Raw genomic sequence first — 24015 nt, forward strand, 5'->3', positions numbered from 1 at the left:
TGCTTGGGCCATGCCTGTGTGGGGGAATCTGGCAGGGGAGCTGGGGGCCCACGGAGCTGCTCTGTCTCCAGGCAGCCTCGTCGCTCCACCCCGCTTAGAGTGGGGCCGCCTCAGGACACCAAGGTTGGGCTGTGTGGCATCTGCTGAACAAGGAGCCGGGCGGCTGTGCTGAGGGCACCTGTGTTTATTGTTTGGGAGCCTTAGAAACCAGGAACCTCGAGTCGGAACCTCTTGTCGTGTCGTGCATGCGAATTCAGGGTGTGACCTGCCCATGTCTCAGCTCCCCGACCTAGTGGTCAGCTCCTCGTGGGGACAGATGTGTCTCATGGTGCTCCAGGGTACTGAAGCAGCCCCAGCAGGTAGCAGCTCCTTAACACACAGCACTGGCAAAACCATCCCTGCGTCTCCCATGCTTGGGCGCTTCTTCCAGAACTCCTGATGGTGGCGAAGACGATGGCGATGATGATGGTGATAGAGGCTTAGACTTCTCAGGTTGAAAGTTGGAGCCCCCCTTGGGGAGCCTCCCACAGGCCTTGTAGGACTCCAGAATTCTGCCCTGGGCCCCTTGATCTGCTCCTGAGTCATTTCAGTCCCTCCACTGGGGAGGTCCTGATGGGTAGAGGGAGCTGGCCACACCCATGGGTGTGTTTGCCCCTTGCCTGAGGGTCCTTTATGGCCCCTAGCCCACGTCTGGCACCGTGAGCATCCCCCACCCACCCCGGGCATTTTGCAGGATGTTCTCGTTGAGGACATGTTCCTTCCTGCTGGGGCTTGGCCGGGCTGAGCCGGGCCCTGGCGCACCCCTAGTACTCGATGGCACTTCTGAGCCATGCGGGGTTCTGGGGTTCTGGGACTTTCTTTTTCAGTCTGGTGAGGGGCCAGGTACTGCCTGGAGCTTCAACCAAAGCAAATCAGGTGATTGCCATGTCCTTGCTAACACAAGACGGAGGCACGCCCAGCCAGCTGACATGCAGAGTGGCACGGTGGCTGAGAACGTGGCCTCCGTTGCCGCACGCCTGAGTTTGCGTTCTGGTGCTGCAGCTTTGCAGCCCTTTGTGACGGCCACGCGTGCTCCGGGTCAGCAGGCCGCTCCCGTGACAAGGGCGCGACATGCAGGGTGCACAGTGGGCCCTGGGGAAACACGGTGGCATCCCCGAGCGCCATCCCCAGCAAGAACGGGGCCAGACACCCACCAGGGAAGAAGCACCCTGGTTGACCGGATTGTTGGCGACCTGACCGCCTGCTTATTCCGTCGTGGACGCACCTCCTCTCGCAGGGGTGGGAGCGGAGGCCTTCGCCTGGAGGCGCCTGGGCCCTGCCTCTGTGCTTTTCTGTCACCCTGAACGGCTGGCGCTCTCCTCGCTGGGCCGCGGGATAAGAAGAAGGCTTTCCGGCAGTCCAGAAATACTGGCTCCCAGGAGCAGGACTGGCCTCTCGGGGTGGGGGTGGGGAGAGAGGGGATGCCCCAGCCAGAGGGAGGTCCCTGGGCCCAGCCTGGAGGGAGCCGAGGGAAGATCCACCTGTTTCTGCACGTGCTCGCCTCCCTCGGAGGCAGGAACTGAATCTGACCTAAGAGGAACCGACTCTCTTGGGGTGGAAGAAACAGAGTTGGCCTCTTCGTGTTTCTTCCGGAATAACACCGGGGTGTTGAGGCGGCATGCTGGTGAGGGCTTGGGTGAGCACAGCCGCCCTGCCTGTGGCCCCACCTCTGATCTTGGGAGGAGTCTGCTGTTCGGAGGCGGGCGGGTCCTGAGGAAGGTGTCCAGGTCTGGCTCTTCAGAGACCAGGAGGGCTGGGCTCCGGGTCCTGCCTGTGCAGCTGGTGTGGCGCCTGGCAGAGAAGAGAGAGGGGGAGAGGGAGGGGAGAGGGGAGGACAGAAGAGGAAAGGAGAGAGAGAGGAGGGAGGCAGAGAGGGAGAAGAGAGGGAGGCAGAGAGGGAGGGAGGGAGAGAAGAGAGGAGAAAGAGGAGGGAGGGAGGAGAGAGGAGGGAGAGAAGAGAGGAGAGAGAGGAGGGAGGAGAGAGGAGGGAGGGAAGGAGAGAGAGGAGGGAGAGAGGGAGAGAAGAGGGAGGGAAGGAGAGAGGAGGGAAGGAGGAGGGAGACGAGGGAGGGAGGAGGGAGATAGGAGGGAGGGAGGGAGGAGGTAGGGAATGTTCAGTTTCTTTCCTCAGGGGAACTGCTGGGGTCTCAGTCTGACTCACTTTTTTCTAATTATTATTATTTCACGTATTTGAATGTGATTTCTGTTAAAAAAAAAAAAAAAAAAGAAAGAAAGAAAGAAACAAGAAACAAGAAAGGACTTAGAAAAAGTACTCAGGGAACCCAGGTGGCCAGAAATGCTCCATTCCCCTTTTGTCCTTTGCAGTGTTCTGGTCTGGAATGAATGGGCTTCCCCAGCAGATTTTAGGGGCTTTTCTTTGAAATTTGAAGGGGAAGGTACCTTCCTATGATCACAGAGCATGTTCCCTTCCAGCCAAGAGGTTAAGTGGAAAGCCCGGGGCCCTGGGTTCCAGAGCGGGGGGCCGGAAGACTGTGAGGCTCAGGGGAGAACGCAAATCCGTCTCAGCAGAAATGTGCCCCAGAACAAATCAGCTCCACCGAGCTCCCAGTGACCTGAACCAAATGCGTCGTCTTTGGTGCGAACTTCAAGGAGTTCTGCCGGGCACCGACCTGGGTCACCACCATCAGAATTGACGCACAGAACACGCCTGTCACCCAGAAAGCTCCCCTGGGCTCTCCGCTCCGTGCCCTTGCCGTGTTCCCGGCCCCAGGCAACGGATGACCTGCTTCCTGTCACTGGGCATGCGTTTGCATTTTCCAGAATTCCTAGGAATGGAATCAGACAGCGTGTGCTCCTGATGGGCTGGCTTCTCTCACTCAGCATAATTAAACGTGGCTTCCTCCACGTGCCGCGCATCAGGAGCTCATTCCTGTTTCCTGCTGAGTCGTGTTCCGTGGTGGGGAAGGCCACCGTTTGTTTACCCACTCACCTGGTGATGAACGTTTGGGTGGTTCCCGGCATGGGGCGATTATAAATGATGCTGCTGTGAATCCTGGTGTGGACGTGTCTCATTTCTATTGGGTAATGTAGGCCAAGGTGCAGAGGCTGGCTCGTGTGGCATGAGAGCGATTCACTCAACAGAAGCCGCCCAGCTGCTCTCCAACGTGGCTGCTCCTATTTGCGTTCCTGCCCACCACGTACGAGAGCTCCGGTTGCTCCAACCCTCACCAACACTTAGCGTTGTTAGTGTTTTAAATTTTAGCCACTTGGATAGTCTGTCGTGGTGTCTTATCATGATTTTATCTTGCATTTTCCTGATGACTGGTGATGTTGACTGTCTTGTAATTAGCCATTCTATTTTTCATATTTATTTGCATCTTTGCTGGTTTTTGTTTTTGTTTTTTGAGACAGGGTCTCGCTCCGTCACCCAGGCTGGAATGCAGTGGTGCCATCTTGGTTCACTGCAGCCTCTGTCTCTTGGGCTCAATCAATCCTCCCATTTCAGCCTCCTGAGTAGCTGGAAGTACAGACATGCGCCACCGCGCCTGGCTAATTTTTGTATATTATTTTTGGTAGAGAAGGGGTTTCACGATGTTGCCCAGGCTGGTCTTGAACTCCTGGGCTAAAGTGATCCTCCAGCCTCCCAAAGTGCTAGGATTATAGGCATGAGCCCCCGTGCCCCACCTTTGCTAATTTTTATTGGGTTGTTTGAATTCTTATTATTGAGTTGTTGGAGTTCCTTATATTCTGACCTTATATTCTGAACCCAAGTCCCTTTGTCACATGAGTGTATGTGTCTGTACCCTCTCCTCCTGCCACACACAGAATATTTCTCTCCCTTGTGGCTTGCCTTTCATTTGAAGAGTGAAGAGTTGAAGGTTTTTATTGTTATGAAGTCCAGCTGATCATTTAATCTTCTGCAGCTGGTGCTTTTTGTGTCTTATCCAAGAAAGCTCTGTCTACCCCAGTGTTGGGGGCTCTCCTGTGTGCCCTTCCAGTGGGTTTATGCTTTCAGCCTTCGTGTCTACAGCTCTGTCCACTTTGAGTTGATTTTTGCCTCTGGTTCGGGATAGCAGTTGAGGTTTATTTTTATTTTTTTCTGTGGATAACCAGTTGTTCCAGCGCCGTTTACTGAAAGACTCCGCTTTGCCCATTGAATTAATATGACACATTTGTGAGAAATCAAGTAACCATCAACTCGAGAGTCTGCTTCTGGGCTCTGCTGTGTTCCGCGGATCTATCTGTTCTGTGGCACAGCACATGTCTTTTTTTTTTTTTTTTTTTTTTTTTTTTTTGAGATGGAGTCTTGCTCTGTTCCCCAGGCTAGAATGCAGTGGCGCGATCTTGGCTCACTGCAAGCTCCGCCTGCCGGGTTCATGACATTCTTCTGCCTCAGCCGCCCGAGTAGCTGGGACTACAGGCGCCCGCCACCACGCCCGGCTAATTTTTTGTATTTTTAGTAGAGACGGGGTTTCACCGTGTTAGCCAGGATGGTCTCCATCTCCTGACCTTGTGATCCGCCCACCTCGGCCTCCCAAAGTGCTGGGATTACAGGCGTGAGCCACCGCACCTGGCCAGCACAGCACGTGTCTTGATTATTATTATCCTCATAGCTTAAATCTTAATGAAACCAGGTAGTGGAAATCATCTAATTTTGTTCTTTCTCTAAATTATTTTTGCTTTTTTAGGTCTTTTACATTTCTGTATACATTTTAGAATCAGCTTGTCAATTTCTGCACCTTGTATTGACTGTCTACTTGTGTAGAATTGTTATTATTTGTTCCTTGAATGTTTGAGTCCCTAAATGCTTCTTTAAATCACGGAAGGCATGTGGGCCTAGTTTCTTAATCAGAAGGTTTTGAATCCCAAATTCAGTTTCTTTAGTAGGTTGAGAACCATTCAGATCTGGGATTTCGTTTTCGAGTGAGTTTGAAAGTTCGCGTCTGTCACGGCACATGCTCCTGTCCTCCGGGTTGTCAGGTCTGTTGGTGTAAAGTCCACAATATTCTCTCTCTCTCTCTCTTTTTTTTTTGAGATGGAGTCTTGCTTGCTCTGTCGCACGAGCTAGAGTGCAGTGGGGCGCTCTCGGCTCACTGCAAACTCCACCTCCCAGGTTCAAGCGGTTTTCCTGCCTCAGCCTCCAGAGTAGCTGGGATTACAGGTGGCTGCCAACACACCCAGCTAATTTTTGTATTCTTAGTAGAGACGGGGTTTCACCATATTGTCCAGGCTGTTCACGATCCCCTGACCTCAGGTGATCTGCCCACCTCAGCCTCCCAAAGTGTTAGGATTACAGGCATGAGCCACCACACCTGGTCCACAATATTCCTTTATTACCTTTCTGTTGTGTCGAATCTGTGCTAATGTCTTCCATTTCATTTCTGATATTAAAGGTTTGTATTTACTCTCTTTTATCTTTTTGATTGGAAGTTTATCAATTTGTTTTAATTTTCCAAGATCCACCCTTGGGTTCCATGGATTCGCTTTATTGCTTATTCATTTTCTATGTAGTTGATTTCCTCTCTGTATTATCACCCTTTTCTACTTAATTTGATTTGAATTTTCTCTTCTTTAGCTTTTTAAAAGATCAAATCATTGATTTTATATCTTGTTTCTGATATAAACATTTAAAGCTCTGATTTCTCAATAAGCACGCCTTTAGTTACATCCTGTATGTTTTGGTGTGTTGTGTTTTTATTTTCATTTAGTTCAAAATGTTTTCTGTTTTTAGGCTGGGCACGGTGGCTCATGCCTTTAATCCCAGCACTTTGGGAGGCTGAGGCAGGTGGATCACCTGAGGTCAGGAGTTCGAGACCAGCCTGGCCAACATGGTGAAACCCCGTCTCTACTAAAAATACAGAAGTTAGCCGGCTGTGGTGGTGGACGCCTGTAATCCCAGCTACTTGGGAGGCTGAGGCAGGAGAATCGCTTGAACCCGGGAAGCGGAGGTTGCAGTGAGCCGAGATTGCACCACTGCACTCCAGCTTGGGCGACAGACCAAGGCTCCGTCTCAAAAAAAAAAAGCAAAATGTTTTCTGTTTTTCTTGTAATTTCCTTCTTTACCTGTGGGTCACTTAGAAATGTGTTCCATTTCTAATTATTTAATACTTAGCCATTTTTAGGTAACTTTTAGTTGTTAATTTTTAATTTACAGCTGACTGCTTGGGTCTACACCATGTGCCCTGAGAAAAGCGCGTATTCTGCTGCGGTCGGGAAGCCTCCAGACATCCGAGCGAGCTGGAGATGCTGTTTTTGGAGCTGTCTACATTCCACTGACCTGTCTTCTTTCTCTGTTCATTGCTGGGGGAAGAGCGTGAGGTGGCGGACGAAGCTCGTGCCTTCATCTGTGTCTTCACTGCTCTCATTTCCAGCTGCATATTTTGAAGCTTTCCATCACGTGCGTGCATATTTAGGACTGTGGGTCTCCTTAACAGGCTGACCCTTTCTTCACTGATGAACTGTCTCCACGTGTCTTCGTCCATCTTCCTTGCCCTGGAGTCTATGTTGCCTGCGATGTTCGTGGCCGTGCCAGCCGCCCCGGGGTCAGGGTTTGAATGCTGTATCTTTGACCATTTCTATATTTGCAGTCTGTCTTTGTCTTTCAGGTGTGATTCTTGCAGACAGCATACTTTAAGTCTTTGATTTTTAGCCAGTCCAACCATCTCTGCTTTTCATTGGTGAGTTTAGCCCATTTAGCAGCCTTTTTTTAAACTTTTTTATTTCCATAGGTTGTGGGGGAACAGGTGGTATTTGGTTACGTGAGGAAGTTCTTTAGTGGTGATTTCTGAGATTTTGGTGCAGCCATCACCCAAGCAGTGCACACTGAACCCGATTTGTAGTTTTTTATCCATCACCCCCTTCCCGCCCTTTCCCCCTGAGTCCCCAAAGTCCATTGTGTCATTCTTATGCCTTTGCATCCTCATAGCTTAGCTCCCACTTATAAGTGAGAACATACGAAGTTTGGTTTTCCATTCCTGAGTTACTTCACTTAGAATAATAGCCTCCGATCTCATCCAAGTTGCTGCAAATGCCATTACTTCATTACTTCTTATGTCTGAGTAGTATTCCATCATATATATATATATATATATATATATACACACACCACAGTTTCTTTATCCACACGTAGGTTGCTGAAGCCCATGTAGTATTGAGTGTAGTGAATGACATGCCTGTGTTTCTTGCTCTGTGTCCAGTTGGTTTGTCTGGTCTCCTCTTTGTTCCTGGGAATGTCCTCTTTTCATGTCATCTCCTGGGTCAACTGTGCGTTAATTACCCATTGTATCTCTACGTGGGAAGGGGATGGGGTGCACACGCCTCTGTCCACGTCTTCGTGGTCAGATGGTAGACGCCGGGCCACAGCAAGCATTAGGGAGGCTGTGGGCTTGCCTGAAACCATCACTCTTACTGTGTTTGGTGGAATGGTGTTCTTATAAAATTTATTTTTATGATAACAATGACAAAACACATTTGAAAACTACTAACAAATGCAACAGCCTCAATTGGTAGATGTGGCAATGACAGCTTCTCTAGGACGGGGTGGATCTGTGTGCCTACAAGTCCCAAGCCTGCACCGGAGCCAGCCAGTTCCGGCTGTAGGATTTGCCTTGCCACGCGTGACGTCTGGCACCTGGCGGCTCTTCCCTGCAAAGCCCTGCAGCCTCGCTGAGCTGTAGAACTGCTCAAGCCCTTCTTTTCCAGCTGCCAGGAGGGTGACAGCTGTGCCTGCCCCCGGGTGTCTGAGGACATAGCAAGGGCAGGCCTGGGGCGAGCCTGGTGGGGGAACCCAGGCAAACGTGAGCCATGGCTAGTCACAGTTGGGAAGCTTGTCCTGGGATGTGTGCAGCCTGGTTACGCCAACGTGTACATCAACTCTTGCCAGGGAAAGGTAAAGCTCGGGGCCCAGAGGCCTGGGCTGAATTTCAGCCCAGGGCAGCTAAGCCCAGCTCCCAGCCCCTGGTCCTGGACGTGCCTGCTGTCCATCTTAGCAGGCCCCATAGAGCAAGTAGGAGAAGGAAACGGGCTTGCCAGCAGGGCCAACTGTCCAGAGGGCATAGGGCAGCCTTCCCATGTGGGCAACGGTCGGCTTACTGGTGCGGAGCTTTCTAATGCCACAGTAGGGCCAGCCAGGTCCCTGAGCCAGGTCCTCGGGCCAGCCCCAGGGCCGGCCCAAGGCCTTTTCTGGCACTCAGCTGGATCAAAGGCTTGGCTTTCAAAGGGGACTCCCTGGGCAAAGGTTGCAGTTTCCAGTATCAGTGGTGACGGGGTCGGGCCTGGCTAGAAGGGCCTGGAGCCCTGCTGGCCACCACCCTGCAAGCCCGCCTGACACCTGGAGAAACTGGGGGCTCTGCCCACCCTTTCCCATGCCCAGGGGTGCAGGCAGGCTGTGCCATGGCATTCTGGGCAGGTGCGTTGAAGACGTTAAATGGGCGAGTTCCCTCTCGGCATGGGGTATAATTAATTTTCCTGAAATAGGCATGACAGCCCAGCAGTCTGCGTGTCTGAGTCAGGCAGTGATTATTACCTCTCACCGGCATGATGCGCCATCGGCCACTCAGAATTCAGAGCACCACAGCTCCCCGGGCCCTGCTGGGGTGGTGCAGGGGGTTCGGGGCTGGCCAGGGCTTGGGAGATGCTACCCCGCTCAGAACCACCCTGCCTGGAGGCTTGGGATCCAAGAGGCGTTTGTGGCTCCCAGGTGTAGGGTTGGCACCAAGGGTGGCGGGAAGGTTACAGCAATGGGTGAGGGAGCGGGAGGGTCCAGCAGAGCTTGCAGGGGGTGGCTGGAGCTGCCCTTGGTGAGTGGAGTGGACGGCCAGGTCCTGTGGGGGACGGGGGCGCACCCCAGCACACACCCCGGCAATGCCCCCAGTCGGGGGAAAGAGCCCGGGCTCCAGTGATGTGGGCTGGCCACGGTCGGTAGCAGTGGTCCGAGTCGGGTGAAGCTTGCCTTCGCGTGTTCTGGGCCACAGTGCTGTGGGGTCACCCTCTGGCCCCCACACCGGGCAGTTTCCGGGAGCAGGAGCTGGAAGTGCAGGGCAGGCTCAGCCCAGTGGGCGGTGATGGCTGCCTGGCCCTCCCGTCACAGAGCCTGTGGTGGCTCTGGGCACCCCTCCTACCTGGGACCGAGCTGTTTCTCACCCCAGGCCTTGCTGACCGTCCAGGTCTGGGGTCTCCCGGGGACGCGCTCTGCATGTGGGATCCATCTGTATTCCAGGGTCCCTGCCGTGGCCAGGCTCTCATCCCTAGGGGCTTCTGGTCTCGTTTCTACCCCAAGGAAGCACCCACAGCAGGTGCCCTCAGCACCCTCCCTTCTGCTTCCTGGACCCAGCGACTGGCTTCTCCCCACTCTCCTGATTGCATATGCTCAGAGGCCTGTCCCAGAGGCTTTGGCCACAGTGGTTTATGTCCTGAACGCCACTGTGCCCAGGCCCCTGGGGATGTTCCCCCCTGAGGTTGTCATCGCAGCCTCCCTGCTTTATGGGTCAGGAAACTGAGGCACACGTGGCCGGAGGACCAGAGGTGGGTGGGAGCCCCCGGCAGTGCTCCCGTGATAGGGCTGAATTGTCCCTGCCTGGCACCCAGACAGAGCAGTTGGCGTAAGCAGGGGTGCATGTCTGCCCGTCCAGGGTGGGTGTCGGCCCTGAGGGTGCAGTCGTCTGCAGCTGCAGGACCCCAAGCCCCTCAGATGGGAGATGGTTGGACTCTGGGACGTTCCCCAGACGCAAGGCTGGGGGTGTGGGCCTCTGGATGTAGAGGCTGGCTAGGCTGCCTTCTCCCACCTCCCGTTCCTGGGGCTCATCTTGCTGTGTCAAAGGGTGAGGCCTCATGCGTGGGTAAGGTGGGGAGCAAAGCAGAGATTTTGTCCTCACAGGGGTGCAGATGGGGAAACTGAGGTCTCAGGTTAGCTGGGAAGTACATAAGGGTGTCGTCCTGCAGCTGAGCGGAGTGGCCGGCCCCATCTTCCTCCTTCCCTCGCTGGGCACGGGCAAGCTGTCCCGGTGACCTCACCAAGGCCTCTCTGTCAGCGCACTTCACAGAGGGAGAACTAAAGGTTGAAGCCTTCAGTCCAGATCACAGAGGCGGTAAATGTCCGAGCGGGTCAGACCCTGATGCTGCAGCCGGACCTCAGAGCCCCCTGGGCAGTGACGGGCCTCTAGGGCATCCTGGGTTTTGTTGCCTGTGCTGCCCCCCAGGGCCCCTCCTACCACCAGAGATGCTGCCTGAGAGCGGGGCTCAGCGGGTGGCCAGGCCCCTCTCCCACCCCGCCCCCGCAGGAGGAAGGCCTTGGCGTTTCAAGGTCGGCCTCCACTTTCACTTTCTTTTTAAGAAGGAGGGTATTATGGGTTGAATTGTGCCCCCAAAATGGTATGTCCAGGTCCTAAGCGCTGGCACCTGCCGTGATCTCATTTGAAAATAGAGTCTGTGCAGAAGTCATCAAGTTAAGATGAGGTCATACTTGAGCAAGGTGGGCCTAATCCCTGTGTGACAGGGGTCCTGTCACAGAGACACCTGACAGGAGGGGAAATTGGGACCCAGAGTCACGGGCACGAGGGGGACGGACGTGAAGACGGAGACTGGAGTGGCACAGCCACAAGCCAAGGGCCACCAGGAGCTGGAAGAGATGGACGAGGCAGGGAAGGATCTTCCGCTAGAACCCATGGAGGGTGCGTGGCTCTGCCCACATGTTGATTTTGAACTTCTGGCCTCCAGAATTGTGATGGAATGAATTTCGGCAGCCACAGGAAACTAAGAAGCCCAAACACGCCGGTTCCTATCCGTGAAGGACAAAAGACCCACGCGTTGAGTCACCAGGGCTATCAGGGAAGAGCCTGGGCCGGGGTCCTAGCCCCAGAGCCCAGAATCCCCGCTTCCAGTTCTCAGCTGCCCCGTGGTGTCCGCCCTCCTGCCCTCTCCACGCTCCAGGGCCCTCTTTTTGTAAAGAAGAAATATTTTCCTCATGGAATGACTCCCTCCTCCAACCCAAACAGGATCATATTTCTGCTTTGAAACAGACACTTCTGCTGTGAGTAGCGGCATCTTTAAATAAACACATCCTCCCTGTTGGGGTAGACAGAGGCAGATGGAGAGACACAGAAAACAGCGCGCAGAGCCCTTGCTTGCGGGTGGGATCCGCGACTCCACAGCCTCCCCTTCCCTGCCCACTTCTGCCTCCTCCTCTTTGTGGGGTGCCCCAGGGCTCTCCTCCCCCATGGCCCCCAGAAACAACCTTGGGGCTTCTTATGTCCTGCGACCTCCTCGGAGCTGTTCTGGGGGCTCTTGGCTGTCGCAGCAAGGAGCTGCACTGAAGTGAAGTGCTTTCCCTGGGAGGTGAGGGCCTTGGCAGGCGGGACTCTCAGAAGGCTGGACCCAAGGGGGGACACGGGCTGCCTGTTCCTGCTGAACCCACACAAGCTCCGTTTCCCTCCTCCTCAGGCTGCCCGGAAGCCCCCGCTACGTCCTGGGAAATGGCTCCTGGGTCTCCCCCAGGCTTCTGGGACCTTAGCCTCGCAGGGCTGCTGGGGGTGGGAGGGGCGCCTTGCCCTGGACACGGCGAGGGAAGCCACTGTGAGGGCAGGCTCTGGCTGGGAGGGGCTGCTCCTGCTGGATGGGACAGCGGTGCCAGCCGGGCATGGGGAGGGTTTCAGCAGGGGGCAAACCTCGTGGGGAGTTGGCCACTCAGGGCAGGCCAGGGAGGGCAGGAATGGAGGTGGAAGGCCTCTGGGGCAAGGCAGGGCAGGGCTTACCCCACCCCAACCACAGAAGGGCCTAATCAGGGGTGGAGGAACTGGTGGGCCTGTGTCCGGGGCCAGCCCGGTCCCCAGTGGTGTGACTGGGGCTGGGTGTGAGGCTGTGGTGAGAGGGGCTCATTCCTGGCACGCCAGGTACTGCTCCTGGGCCACAGAACCCAACCTTCCAGCGGTCAGGGTCTAGGCTGCTGATAGGCACTCGTCCTGGCGGCCAGACTCATGGGCTGCGGGTGAGGACCCCAGCAGATGGGTCGGGGCGACCTGGGATGGCGGAGGGCAGGTGGGGAGGCTGTGGGAGGTGCCTGCTGGGAGGGAAAGGACTGTGCTCCGTGCCCACCCCGGGGGCTCCCTGTCATCGCTCCGCTCCCTCTGGCCTACGCATCCACAGGCCCTGCCCGTCCACCCGTGCATTCGGTTTGGTACAAAATCCCCTGGCAATGCTTTCTGTGGGGGCTGATTCTTAACACCCCTCCCCTTCCGCCAAGCAGGCCCTGTGGGTCTGTTGACCGGGAGCACAGAGGGCCTAGCGGACAGCTACACCCCAGGGTGGCCTTGGGCCTGGGGGCCCCGGAGGAGCGGGCTGTCAGCAACTCCCAGCAGCCAGGCCTGTGGGCTGAGATGGTGGCGGTTTCCTGCCCTGCCTCTCCTCCCCTCCGGGGTCAGGGGGCTCCTCTCCTGACCTTGTACTTAGAAACGACACAGCGTCCCACAGAGCATCGCCCTGTGCCTCTGGGGGCCGGGCCTGCCCCAAGCCTCACATGCCAGCCTGGCACTGCTGCTGCCCTCGGGCAGGGGCCCTTTCTGGGTCGGGGACAGGTGGTCTTTCCCCACTTGGGAAAGAGGGAAGTGAAAACCCCAGAGGGAAGTGGTTTGCCCCAAGCTGGCAGAGCGAGTCCGGGGCAGGAAGTCACAGTAGGCAGGGGTGCCGGAGCCGGCGAGAGGGGGCCGGCGGGTGGATGGTCTCAGTTCCAGAGCCTCAGGGGCCTCCAGTGAGGAGCACAGGGCCCCTGCCCACCCTGTGGCCAGAACCCTGGACGCACGTGGCAGCCGCTCAGGGCCCCAGGAGAGCGTGTCGGGGCACCCTCAGGGCAGCACCCCGGCTTCCCGCCCCCTCACTCCCTGGCTGCACCAGGCTCAGCCTTCCGGGGATGGGCGACACTGCCCCTCTCCCGATCCCCACCGCGGGGTGCAGCCTGGCAGCTCCCTGGCCAGACGCAAGGGGACTGTGAGAGAGAGACGTCCGGGTTACTACGCGTGGGCCTGGCCCAGTCAGCCAAGCAGATGCAGCCGTGTGGTCTTGGGCTCTGTGAGCTCGGGAGTTCCCGCACAGAACGCGGGCCTCACTGTCTCCTCTGCCCGCAAATTCCCCGGCATGGGCTGCGCTGCTGCTGCAGAATTACCCAGCCCCAGGACCGGTGCACGGTCAGCAGAGGCCCGGGCCCGCCTTGTGGAAGGCGACATATCGGCAGTGCCCGACCTAAATTCCCAGGCACTGTGGCCAGGTGGGTGGCCTCCCGTGAAGGGCTGGCTGCCCACACCTGGGTCATGAACCCTCACGTCACTCGCGAGGCCTGCACCACGTCGCCGGGGCACAGAGGAGGAAACTGAGCCTCAGGACTTGGCCTGCAGAGAGAGGGGTCGAAGTGTGCCCCCCAAAGCACCCCTCACACCCCAGTCCCCCCACTTCACCCCAAATGAGGTAGGTGTCCACAGGGGAGAGTGGGGGCAGCCCTGGGGCTGGCTGAGGGTCACCTGCAGGGGGTCAGGAGCTGCTGCGGAGAAGGGAGCGTCCACACACATCTGCACACGTGCACACGCACACACGCTCACACTCACCGGCACCGAGGTGCACCGCCTGGCCGAAAGCTGTCTTCCTGTTTACTCTGACCTGGTCCCTACCACAGGCTTGAAGAGCAAATGTTTTTGTCTCCATCGTGCAGAAGAGGAAGCTGAGGTTCAGAGGCATTAAGTGACCCACATAAAGTTGTCCAGCATGTCTGATGGGGTTGGCCCTAGTGACTCCAGGTCAGGAGCCAGAGAGCCCCAGGGGGAGTGTTGGTGACCGGGCGGGCTCCCGGCAGGAGAAGGGCACCTCATGTTGGTCAGCATGAGTGTGGGGTAGAGGTGACCTGGGGGAAAGGTGACCTGGGAGGGAGGTGACCACAGGGAGAGGTGGCCTCTGGGGGAGGTGACCACAGGGGAGGATGACCTGATGAGGAGATACCTGGGGCAGATGACCACAACAGGGACCTGGCCACAGGAGGAGGTGACCTGGTGGGGAGGTGACCTGGGGGGAGACACCCTGGTGGGAGGTGACCACGGGAAGGGGTGGCTTCTGGGGGAGGTGATCACAGCGGGGAGATGACCTGACAGTGTCAGGTTATGTGGGGGCAGATGACCACAGTGGGGAGCTGGCCACAGGAGGAAGTGACTTCTGGGGGAGGAGGCCATAGTAGGGTGGTGACCTGGTGGGGAATTGACCTGGTGGGGAGGTCACCTGGGGGGAGGTGACCACAGTGGGGAGTGACCACAATGACCACTTCTCCAAGTGGCCACGGGAGGAGGTGACACAGGGGGGTGATGGCTTTGGGGGAGTAACACCAGCCCTGCAGAGGAGGATAAGCCCCTTGGGAGGAGGGGTCAGGGAGGAGGAGGTGGCCCACTCTGTGGCCTCGCCTGCAGGGGAGGCCCTGTCCCTGCGCTCCTTAGAACAGACACCCTGGGCGGCGGGCCCCTTCCTCCTGGCCTGCAGGTCGGCCTGCAGTGGAGTGCTACCACAGCCTGGAATCCTCAGTACTGGAGCCTCTGCCACCCAGCTGGGGTCTCACGCTCAGCCCCCGACCATCCCCAGAGGCCAGGCCACCTGTGGTTCTGGGGTCCCGAGGCTCTTGGGAGCCCAAGCTGCTGGTGTGACCTGCTGCAGCTGCTGCCAGCCAGGCAGGGAGAGCTGAGAGCTGAGCTTGCCCTGTGCCCAGGAGGGTGGACTCTGGCAGGACATGGCCCGGAGGTGGGAGGGGCGTGTGCCCGTGTGTGCTTGGGCACGGTACCCGGTCTGAGGCCCGTGTTGTCTCGGGCAAAATGCGCACACTGTCTTGGAGGAGGCGGGCCGGGGACTCCTGCGTGGCCCGAGGAAGCTGAGGGGAGGTAGTCCCTGATGCCATCAGCCTCCTTGCTCCGGAAACCAGGTGAGTGCAGATTCTCCTACCTGGCTGAGTGGAGTCCTGCGCATCCAGTGGAGAGAAATGGAAGTTTACTGCAAACTGGGGGTTCCCCGCAGCCTTGGTTTATGGTTAAATATTACAGAGGCCCCGTGGGAGAGCCAGGCCCCTTCCCTCTGTGGGCCCTGAAGGGGGCCACAGAAGCAACACCACGGTGTGGGGGGAGCACCGTCCCGTGAAGCTCCCGCTAGGCCGAGGGGCTGGGGCTGTGCTCGCCATCCTCGGCCACCAGCCTGGCTTTCGGGTCCCCACACACAGGCAAGAGCACGGGAACCGCATCCTGACCTGCCAGCTCCTCTCCAGAGGCTCGGACCCAGATGGGGCTGGATTGGGGCGGGAGGAGGCGCAGTGGCCAGGGAAGCTCTGGGGCAAATGCCTTCCAAGTGACTCATCGGGGCTGGGTCCCTGAAGCCTGCCATCCACCCCAGCTCTACTCTGCCTGCGCGGCCTGGGAGCGGCGCCTGTGCCCTTGGGTTGAGGACACCGATTAGCAGGCAAGGCCCACACGAAGGTGTCGCCTTCTTCGTCAACTGAGGCCCAGTGTGGCTTCCTGGAGTTGTGAACAGCTCCTGGCCTCCCTGGGGCTCCGCAGCTGGGCCTTCCCTGCATCTCGGGGTGTAAACCAGCCCCAGGAAACAGGCGGAGTGGCTGCAGCATGGGTCAAGGTCAGAGAATCCGGGAGCCCCACAGCCGGCAGGGCTGATGACATGAGCTTCAGGGCCCAGCGCAGAACAGAAACACGGCCGTTGTTTTAAGAGTGTCCGACAGTGACCATGGGCGCTATACCAGGGGCAGGCCCCTCCGAGCCGCGCTGGAGCCTGAGGGCTGACTGGCCGAAGAGCTTTGGTGGGAGGAGCGGGATGTAGCCGTGGCTCAGTTAGGGGCCGGGAGAGGAAGGCCGCGCAGGTGTCCTCTTTGCTGCTCAGGGCCAGCCAGCGGGAGGGTTCGGGGATTTTAAGAGGAGACACTGGTTCTGCGTCCCCCTCACACTGCTGGGAGAGAACACAGGAGGGGCTATTTGTGAATTATGTCTGGTTGCTGTGAGTGTGTGTCGTGGGTGTTTAACCACCTCTCTGCTCCAAGATGGAAAGTGGAGGTGCTGCTCCCACCATCACCCTCTGCCTTCCTGCACCCGCCCCCTCCACTGCCTGTGGCCTGCATGCGGCCCTCATGGCCACTGTGAACTGTATGTGCCCCGACCTGCTCCCTTGCCTCTCCCTGAGGCTCATGCAGTTTTCTTGCCTGGAACCCTCTGAGGGCCTTTGCCTGGAGAGCTGCTGTCATCCTTTAAGACCTGAGTCCTGCCTACCGCCTTATTTCCACAGCACCTCTGCACACCCCTGTCTGCGCACCTATTGTATTAATCCGGCATTACTGCAGGAGTGCTGTCCTATCTGCGGTAGGGAGAGCTCTCTTGGTGCAGAATCCCAACTCAGATGAACGTAAGCCAAAAGGGAGCCTGTTGGCTTATTATAACTATCTCACCCAGGCGCAGCTGCAGGCATGGCTGGATCCAGGACCTCAATAATGCACTCAAAGCTCTGTCTCTCTCCCGGCATCTCAGCCCTGCTTGTCTTTACTTGACTTCATTCAGGGTGTCAGCTCTCTCTCCATGCAGTGGGGGATGGCCTCTGGCAATCCCAGGTTAGCAGCCCTGATGAGAAGAGGCCGTTTTTCCCTTCACTCTGTGGACAAGTCTCCCAGGGACTTCCAATGGTGTAGCTTGGGCTGTGTGAGCTCCCAGGACTGATCACTGCGGCTGGCGAGGGAGCACGCGCCTCCTTATAACAGGATAGGGTCAGCCTATAGAAAAGGGAGACTTATCTGCTGCCTTGCAAAGGGGAGGACGGAGGCTGGGCAGTGTGTGCACCTCCCCAGCCAAATGGGCGAGCACTGTGATGGAGGGTTGTGCATTTCCAGGCTCTCGGTATCCCCAGCCCCTTGCCCGTGCCTGGCGCATAAGTGGACACAATCTTTATGGACCAGTCACCCCGCTGCACCAGGGACTCTTTGACCAAAGAGAGTGGAGCATGTGGGCCCTGGGGACACGGTGTGGTGGCCGGGGTTTCTTCATGCAGCCTCCTGGGCCTTGGCTCTCCCTCCGCTGGTGGCCTGGAGGGACAGGAATAAATTTTGCAGCAGAATTGACCGCGGGGGAGGGAAGGGCTTCCTTGCCCTGGGGCCCTTCTCACAGTTTTCATCTCGCTCAGTTCCAAGTCAAAACCTCTGGCCTGCGAAGCTCATTTGGGAACAGTGGGAGAGCAGATCTGAACCGGACACGGTCACTGGTTGCCTTGGTTATTCTGGGCAGGACACGTGGCGTCAGCCTGGGCAGAGGGGCAGAGCCTCGGGGCCATGGTTTAGGGTCCTGGATCCAGCCCCGTGGAAGCTGCTCTCTGGGTGCTGCCGTGAAGGTGGCAGGTCCCCTTTCTGACTGAAGGTCCTTCGAATCCGTGTTCCAGGCTCCAATCATAGAAGCCGGAGCAAGAGAGCCAGAGCTTTGTAGGAATTTACATGGAAACGCTTTCTGCTGCCTGTCATTGCTAACAGGACCGCCCAAGTCCCGGGGTGGACTGTGAGGCCAAATGAATGTGGTTGCCATTGAGTGGGAGCTTCCTCAGCCTCCCTGCACTGGCTGGGGGTGCATCCTCCCAAGGCCCTCTGTCCCTGAGGGCCTGGAGAGGCCCTCTGCTCAGCAGGGGCTACTGAGCCTGCCCCCACCCCACGAGGAGCTGCAGCGACAGGATTGCAAAGACACCCTAGGCCCCACCTACTCTTAATTGTGGGGAAACAGCACCAACCCCAGTTTGCAGTAGTCGGACGGGTTTCTAGCTCACTCTGTCTGAACGTTTCCCTTCCTAACTCCTTTCTTCATCTTCTCTTTTTATTTACTGGGCTATAAATTAGCTCCTTAAATCAGACAAATACATGCACACTGACAAGGTTTGGCTCTGTCTCACCCAAACTTTATGCAGAATTGTCATTCCCAGTGTTGGAGGTGGGGCCTGGTGAGAGGCGGTTGGCTCATGGGGGTGGATTTCTCATGAATGGTTTAGGACCATCCCCTTGGTACTGTCCTCACAACAGTGAGTTCTCGTGAGATCTGGTCATTTTAAAGCATGTGCACCTTGCCCCCACTCTCTCTTCTCTCTTCCTCCTGCTCTGGCCATGGAAGACACACCTGCTCCCCTGTTGCCTCCTGCCATGATTGGAAGCTTCCTGAGGCCTCCTCAGAAGCTGATGCTGCTATGCTTCCTGTACAGCCAGCAGAACCATGAGCCAATTCAACCTCTTTCCTTACAAATTACCCAGTCTCATGTCTGTCTGTCTTTCATTCTTTCTTTTCTTTCTTTCTCTTTCTTTCTTTCTTTCTTTCTTTCTTTTTTTCTTTCTTCTTTCCTTCCTTCCCCCTCTCTCTTTCTTTCTTTCCTTCCTTTCTTCCTTCTTCCTTCCTTCCTTCTCTTTCTTTCTCTCTCTCTCTTCCATCTTTCCTTCCTTCCTTCCTTTTTTTTTTGAGATGGAGTCTCACTCTGTTGCCAGACTGGAGTGCAGTGGTGCAATCTCAGCTCACTGCAACCTCCGCCTTCCAGGTTCAAGTGATTCTTCTGCCTCAGCCTCCCAAGTAGCTGGGACTACAGGTGCACACCAGCACACCCAACTAATTTTTTTTTTTGTATTTTTAGTAGAGATGGGGTTTCACCATGTTGGCCAGGATGGTCTGGATCTCCTGACCTCATGATCCGGCTGCCTTGGCCTCCCAAAGTGCTGGGATTACAGGCGTGAGCCACCGCACCCGGCCTTGTGTATTTCTTTATATAATGCGAGAATGGATGAACACACACACTACCTGTCATTGTTTTTCTTAGAATTCTGCAGGCCACGGACATGGCCGAGCAGCTGGAGCCCGGCTGCATCCGTGCTGTCTACACCGGCCTGGGCTGTGCTGTCTACACCGGCCTGGGCTGTGCTGTCTACACACCGTCACCTGCCTGGGCCGTGCTGTCTACACACCGACACCGGCCTGGGCCGTGCTGTCTACACACCGTCACCTGCCTGGGCCGTGCTGTCTACACACCGTCACCTGCCTGGGCTGTGCTGTCTACACACTGACACCGGCCTGGGCCGTGCTGTCTACACCGGCCTGGGCCGTGCTGTCTACACACCGTCACCTGCCTGGGCCGTGCTGTCTACACACCGTCACCTGCCTGGGCCGTGCTGTCTACACACCGTCACCTGCCTGGGCCGTGCTGTCTACACACCGTCACCTGCCTGGGCCGTGCTGTCTACACACCGTCACCTGCCTGGGCCGTGCTGTCTACACACCGTCAGCTGCCTGGGCCGTGCTGTCTAGACACCGTCACCTGCCTGGGCCGTGCTGTCTACACACCGTCACCTGCCTGGGCCGTGCTGTCTACACACCGTCACCTGCCTGGGCCGTGCTGTCTACACACCGTCACCTGCCTGGGCTGTGCTGTCTACACACTGACACCGGCCTGGGCCGTGCTGTCTACACCGGCCTGGGCCGTGCTGTCTACACACCGTCACCTGCCTGGGCCGTGCTGTCTACACACCGACACCGGCCTGGGCCGTGCTGTCTACACACCATCACCTGCCTGGGCCGTGCTGTCTACACACCGTCACCTGCCTGGGCCGTGCTGTCTACACACCGTCACCTGCCTGGGCCGTGCTGTCTACACACCGTCACCTGCCTGGGCCGTGCTGTCTACATACTATTGCTGGCCCAGCCTCAGCCCTGGGATGAGTACAGACTACTTTCTTTTGGCCAATCGCAGCTTTCAGCCAGCCCCGTCATACTCCCCTCCTTGTCCCTTACAGCCCCTGGGACAGACTCCCCTGAGTCTGCTCACTTTCTTTTTCTTTTTTTTTTTTTTTTAGATAGAGTCTTGCTTTGTTGCCTAGGCTGGAGTACAGTGGTGTGATCTCGGCTCACTGCAACCTCCGTCTCCTGGGTTCAAGCAATTCTCCTGCCTCAGCCTCCCAAGCAGCTGGGACTACAGGCACCCACCACCACACCTGGCTAATGTTTTGTATTTTTGGTAGAGACAGGGTTTCGCCACGTGGGCCAGGCTGGTCTTGAACTACTGACCTTGTGATCCACCCGCCTTGGTCTCCCAGAGTGCGTTGAGCCACCGCACCCGGCCGTCTGCTCACTTTTAACTGTGGAAATGCAGCCCAGCCCAGCTGAAAGCTCGAATCTTCTGTCCTGCTCATGCTCCCCTGCCCCGGGGTGAGGCTGCTGTCTCTCCAGACTTGGGGTGGGGACAGAGGTGTGCGTGCTCTCCTGCTCGCTCCCCTCCACCCTCTGGGCTGGTACCCTGATGAGCCACCAGCTCTGATGACTCCGACCTCCCTATCCCCACACAGAGGCTGGGGCTGCGGCTGGGTGACTGGCGGGTCAGTCCTGCTCAGCCCTGCAGGCTGTGTGTCTGGGTCTAATGAGTTTCTTAGAATGTGGAGATTGTGCTGGGTGGTGTTGGGGGTTGCTTGGAACCTCTGTCATTTTCATCTGTGGACCTTAGTCATCAATTCCGCTGCTCTAGTAAAATTCCTACTGGAAATAAAACCCTGCACCACCCCCCTCTCTCTGTGGGAGCCTCCAGGATGTCTCTGGGGTCTTCCCCGCCAGCCTCCATAGCTGTATTCATCAGGGTTCTCCGGAGAAACAGAAGCAGTAGGAGACGGGTTTATTTATTCCAGGGAACTGGCTCATGTGATTACAGAAGCTGAGATGTCCTGAGACCTGCCACCTGGAGACGGAGGAGGGCCTATGTCACCATCTGAGTCTGAAGGCCTGAGACCCAGGAGAGCTGATGATGCAGCCGAGTTCAAATCTGAAGGCTGGACAAGATCCCATCAGCTTGAAGACCTTCAGGCAGAGAAAGTGGGCTCTCCCTCCCTCAGCCTTTTGTTCTGCTCAGGCCTTCAAGGGATTGGAGGATGCCCGCCCACGCAGGGGACAGCCATGGACTTTCCTCAGTCCTTCAACTCAAATGCTGATCTCACCCAGAGACAGCTCACAGATACCCTAGAGAACATGCGGCCAAATATCTCGCCACCTCTTCCCAGTCAAGGTGACACATGAAATTGGCCATCACAGCGTCCTGGTATCATTGTATCAGAGTTGGCCTGTGTGACAGTGAGTGATGTCCAAGCCTAGTTCACAAATGGCTTTGTGGATCCCACCTTGCTCTCCCTGGGGTCACTCTGGGGGAAGACAGTCGCCATGTTAGGAGAATGCTCAAGCAGCCTTGTGGAGAAGCCTATGAGGCCAGGGACTGAGGCCTCCCGCCAATAGCCTGTGAGGAGCTGCAGCCTCCACCAATGGCCTTGTGAGGACTGGAGGCCTCTCCCCAGCAGCCATGTGAGCAAGCTTCCTTGGAAACGGATCCCCCAGCCCAGTCGCACGTGCAGGTGTTGCCGTCCTGGCGGCAACCTCGTGCCAGATCCTGAGCCACAGCCACCCCACTGGGCTTCTTCCAAATCCTGGAGCCTCTGAAACTGTAAGATAATGAAGGTTTGTTGTTTTACACTGCTCAGTTTTGGGGTAATTTGCTACATGGAAATAGAAAACACACACAGTCTATATCTGTATGTGTATATGTTTTATATATTCTATATGATATATTTTTAAATAGGGTTTTCTTCCCAGGATGGGATCTTACTGAACATTCTTAAAAACCAATTAATTTTAGACATGCCCAGCTGTCCCACATTTCCATAGAGGAAGGGCAGGAGAATTCTCTAAATATTCTGTGTGTTTTCCTTCAGGCCCAGCGTCCCTCGAGGTGAGGTTGGGACCATGTGACCAGCCATGGCCAATGGGCTCTGAGCAGAAGGACCATGAGTCGGCTTGCCAACACACTCAGAGGTTGCATGCCTCCTCCACAGGCCCCTCTCTGCCGTGGGACCCTGGAGGCATGTCTGTGAGGGCGGCACTAGGAGATGGGGAACCCGGCCCCCCAGTGACCCTGGAGGAGGGCCCTGACAATCCGTGTGCTGCTTGCCCTAGAGAGAAATACGCTGTAGCGCGATTAAGCTGTGAGATTTTGGAGGTTTGCTTGTTACTGCGTCACGTCACGGCCCAGCCTCTCCTGACTCGGTGCAGCAGATAACAATGGCAGTCAAAGCACCACGTTATCTGTTCTGAAGAAAGTGGAACTTTCTTCTGAAAATGCAGGTGGCCTCAGACACTCCGGGAGGCGTTCTCAATCCATTGCAACACTTTGTGGGGGAAATTGCCTGAGTCCCCCAGCTCGTCCATCTCTGCACCGGAGACTGTACGGGGTGAAGGAGGGTGTCTTAGGAAGCCACTGAGGCATCGCCAGAGCCCGCACGGGCAGCGTCAGGCACCCCAGGAGGTCATTTCACATGTTCTACAAGGACATGTTTTCAGCTCTCCAGTTTTCTAGTGGAGGAAACCAAACCTCCCAGGTGGTCAACACAGGCGTTTGCCCCACATGCCACCACCAGGTAGCCACGGGTCTCATGGGTGACTGGGAATGGGAGGGGAAGGAAGAAGCTCTTCTTTTGTGGAATCTGATCACAGGGAACCCTCTCCCGCCCGGGGCTCAGAATCTGATCACAGGGAACCCTTTCCCGCCTGGGGCTCAGAATCTGATCACAGGGAACGCTCTCCCGCCCGAGGCTCAGAATCTGATCACAGGGAACCCTCTCCCACCTGGAGCTCAAGATGGTTTCCTGCAGACCTGGAATTAAACGTCAGGCTCCTGCCTGAGTCGCCGGGACCCCCAGCCTGGCTGACCTCTTCTTGCTCTGCTGAGCTCTCTGCATGCCCCCAAGGCCCTCTCCGCCTCTGGCTCAGCCCTTAGGAAGCCCTGGCAGAGAAGCCCAGGATGGGAGAGGCAAAATGGGGAGGATGAGGTTTGCATTACCTGTAATCCTGGCCAGGCCACAGTACCTAAGTGCTCAAACATGAGCCCAGGTGTAGCTGGGAAGGTGTCCTGCAGAGGAGCTCAATATCCACAATCAGATGATCTGAAGGAGATTAGCCTCGATTTTTCTGGGAGGGACTCATCCCTTCAAAGGAAGCCCTTAAGAGTGAAAACCGAGGTTTCACTGAGAACACCTGCCTCAAGACGGTGACGTGCCCTACTGCGTGTCTCCTGCCTGCCGCCTGCCCTGCAGGTTTTGAACCCCCATGATTGCGGGATCCAATGCCTTAAAATAAATCTCTAAACATATATCCGTCTAGGTAAACCGCCTGTTGTCTAAACATATATCCGTGTATGTAAACCGCCTGTTGTCTAAACATATATCCGTGTATGTAAACCGCCTGTTGTCTAAACATATATCCGTGTATGTAAACCGCCTGTTGTCTAAACATATATCCGTGTATGTAAACCGCCTGTTGTCTAAACATATATCCGTGTATGTAAACCGCCTGTTGTCTAAACATATATCCGTGTATGTAAACCGCCTGTTGTTGTCTAAACATATATCCGTGTATGTAAACCGCCTGTTCTCTAAACGTATATCCGTGTATGTAAACCGCCTGTTGTCTAAACGTATATCCGTGTATGTAAACCGCCTGTTCTCTAAACGTATATCCGTGTATGTAAACCGCCTGTTCTCTAAACGTATATCCGTGTATGTAAACCGCCTGTTCTCTAAACATATATCCGTGTATGTAAACTGCCTGTTGTCTAAACGTATATCCGTGTATGTAAACCGTCTGTTCTCTAAACATATATATGTGTATGTAAACCGCCTATTGTCTAAATATATATACGTGTATATGAACCGCCTATTGTTTTTTTCATGTCAGGAAAGCCGGGACAAATCCCCCTGGTTCTGTTTCTCGGAAGAACGTTGCCTGTTAAGGGGGCGTTTCCACTGCCCTCCAAGGGCTTGGGACTCACTGTGTCCTTTGTGTGTGTCAGGGGTGGGGAGCGGCTCCTGTCCAGGCCTTCTTACCGACAGCTACAAGGCTTGGGTCGGCACTGGCTCCTGCCCTCCCTCTCCAGGCCTTGGGAAGACGCGGTTCTCCTGCCCGGGCTGCCCCTTGA

At 56.3% G+C, this 24015-nt stretch overlaps 2 protein-coding genes across 2 annotated transcripts, besides 1 other annotated feature; one reads left to right on the forward strand and one right to left on the reverse strand.

Moving 5' to 3' along the window:
• Positions 1 to 24015: part of a sequence alteration artifact (region identified as an assembly artifact by the Genome Reference Consortium. This region falsely duplicates sequence located at GRCh38 chr21:43376890-43571979) that runs on past both edges of the window.
• Positions 7140 to 9830, reverse strand: LOC107987288 (uncharacterized). Its single transcript, XM_047441061.1, has 3 exons — positions 9725 to 9830; positions 9142 to 9366; positions 7140 to 9025 (listed from the first exon to the last, which is right to left on the reverse strand). Exons 1-3 carry the CDS (start codon positions 9828 to 9830, stop codon positions 8562 to 8564), a joined length of 795 nt encoding a protein of 264 aa, XP_047297017.1. The 3' UTR covers positions 7140 to 8561.
• LOC124905049 (uncharacterized) lies at positions 16405 to 23749 on the forward strand. Its single transcript, XM_047441062.1, has 3 exons — positions 16405 to 16410; positions 18835 to 21503; positions 21758 to 23749. Exons 1-2 carry the CDS (start codon positions 16405 to 16407, stop codon positions 19906 to 19908), a joined length of 1080 nt encoding a protein of 359 aa, XP_047297018.1. The 3' UTR covers positions 19909 to 21503; positions 21758 to 23749.

The sequence above is a fragment of the Homo sapiens genome, chromosome 21 (genome assembly GCF_000001405.40).
Source record: "Homo sapiens chromosome 21, GRCh38.p14 Primary Assembly".
Lineage (NCBI taxonomy): Eukaryota > Metazoa > Chordata > Mammalia > Primates > Hominidae > Homo > Homo sapiens.

Excerpts from the sequence above, each read along its gene's own strand:
- LOC107987288 (XM_047441061.1), bottom strand. The coding sequence starts at position 9,830 with ATGAGGCCTCACCCTTTGACACAGCAAGATGAGCCCCAGGAACGGGAG. Across the intron at positions 9,367-9,724 it reads GCCCACACCCCCAGCCTTGC|CATATGCAATCAGGAGAGTG; the intron begins GTCTGGGGAACG and ends CAGGCCTCTGAG. Across the intron at positions 9,026-9,141 it reads GACGGTCAGCAAGGCCTGGG|CTCCTGCTCCCGGAAACTGC; the intron begins GTGAGAAACAGC and ends CTGCACTTCCAG.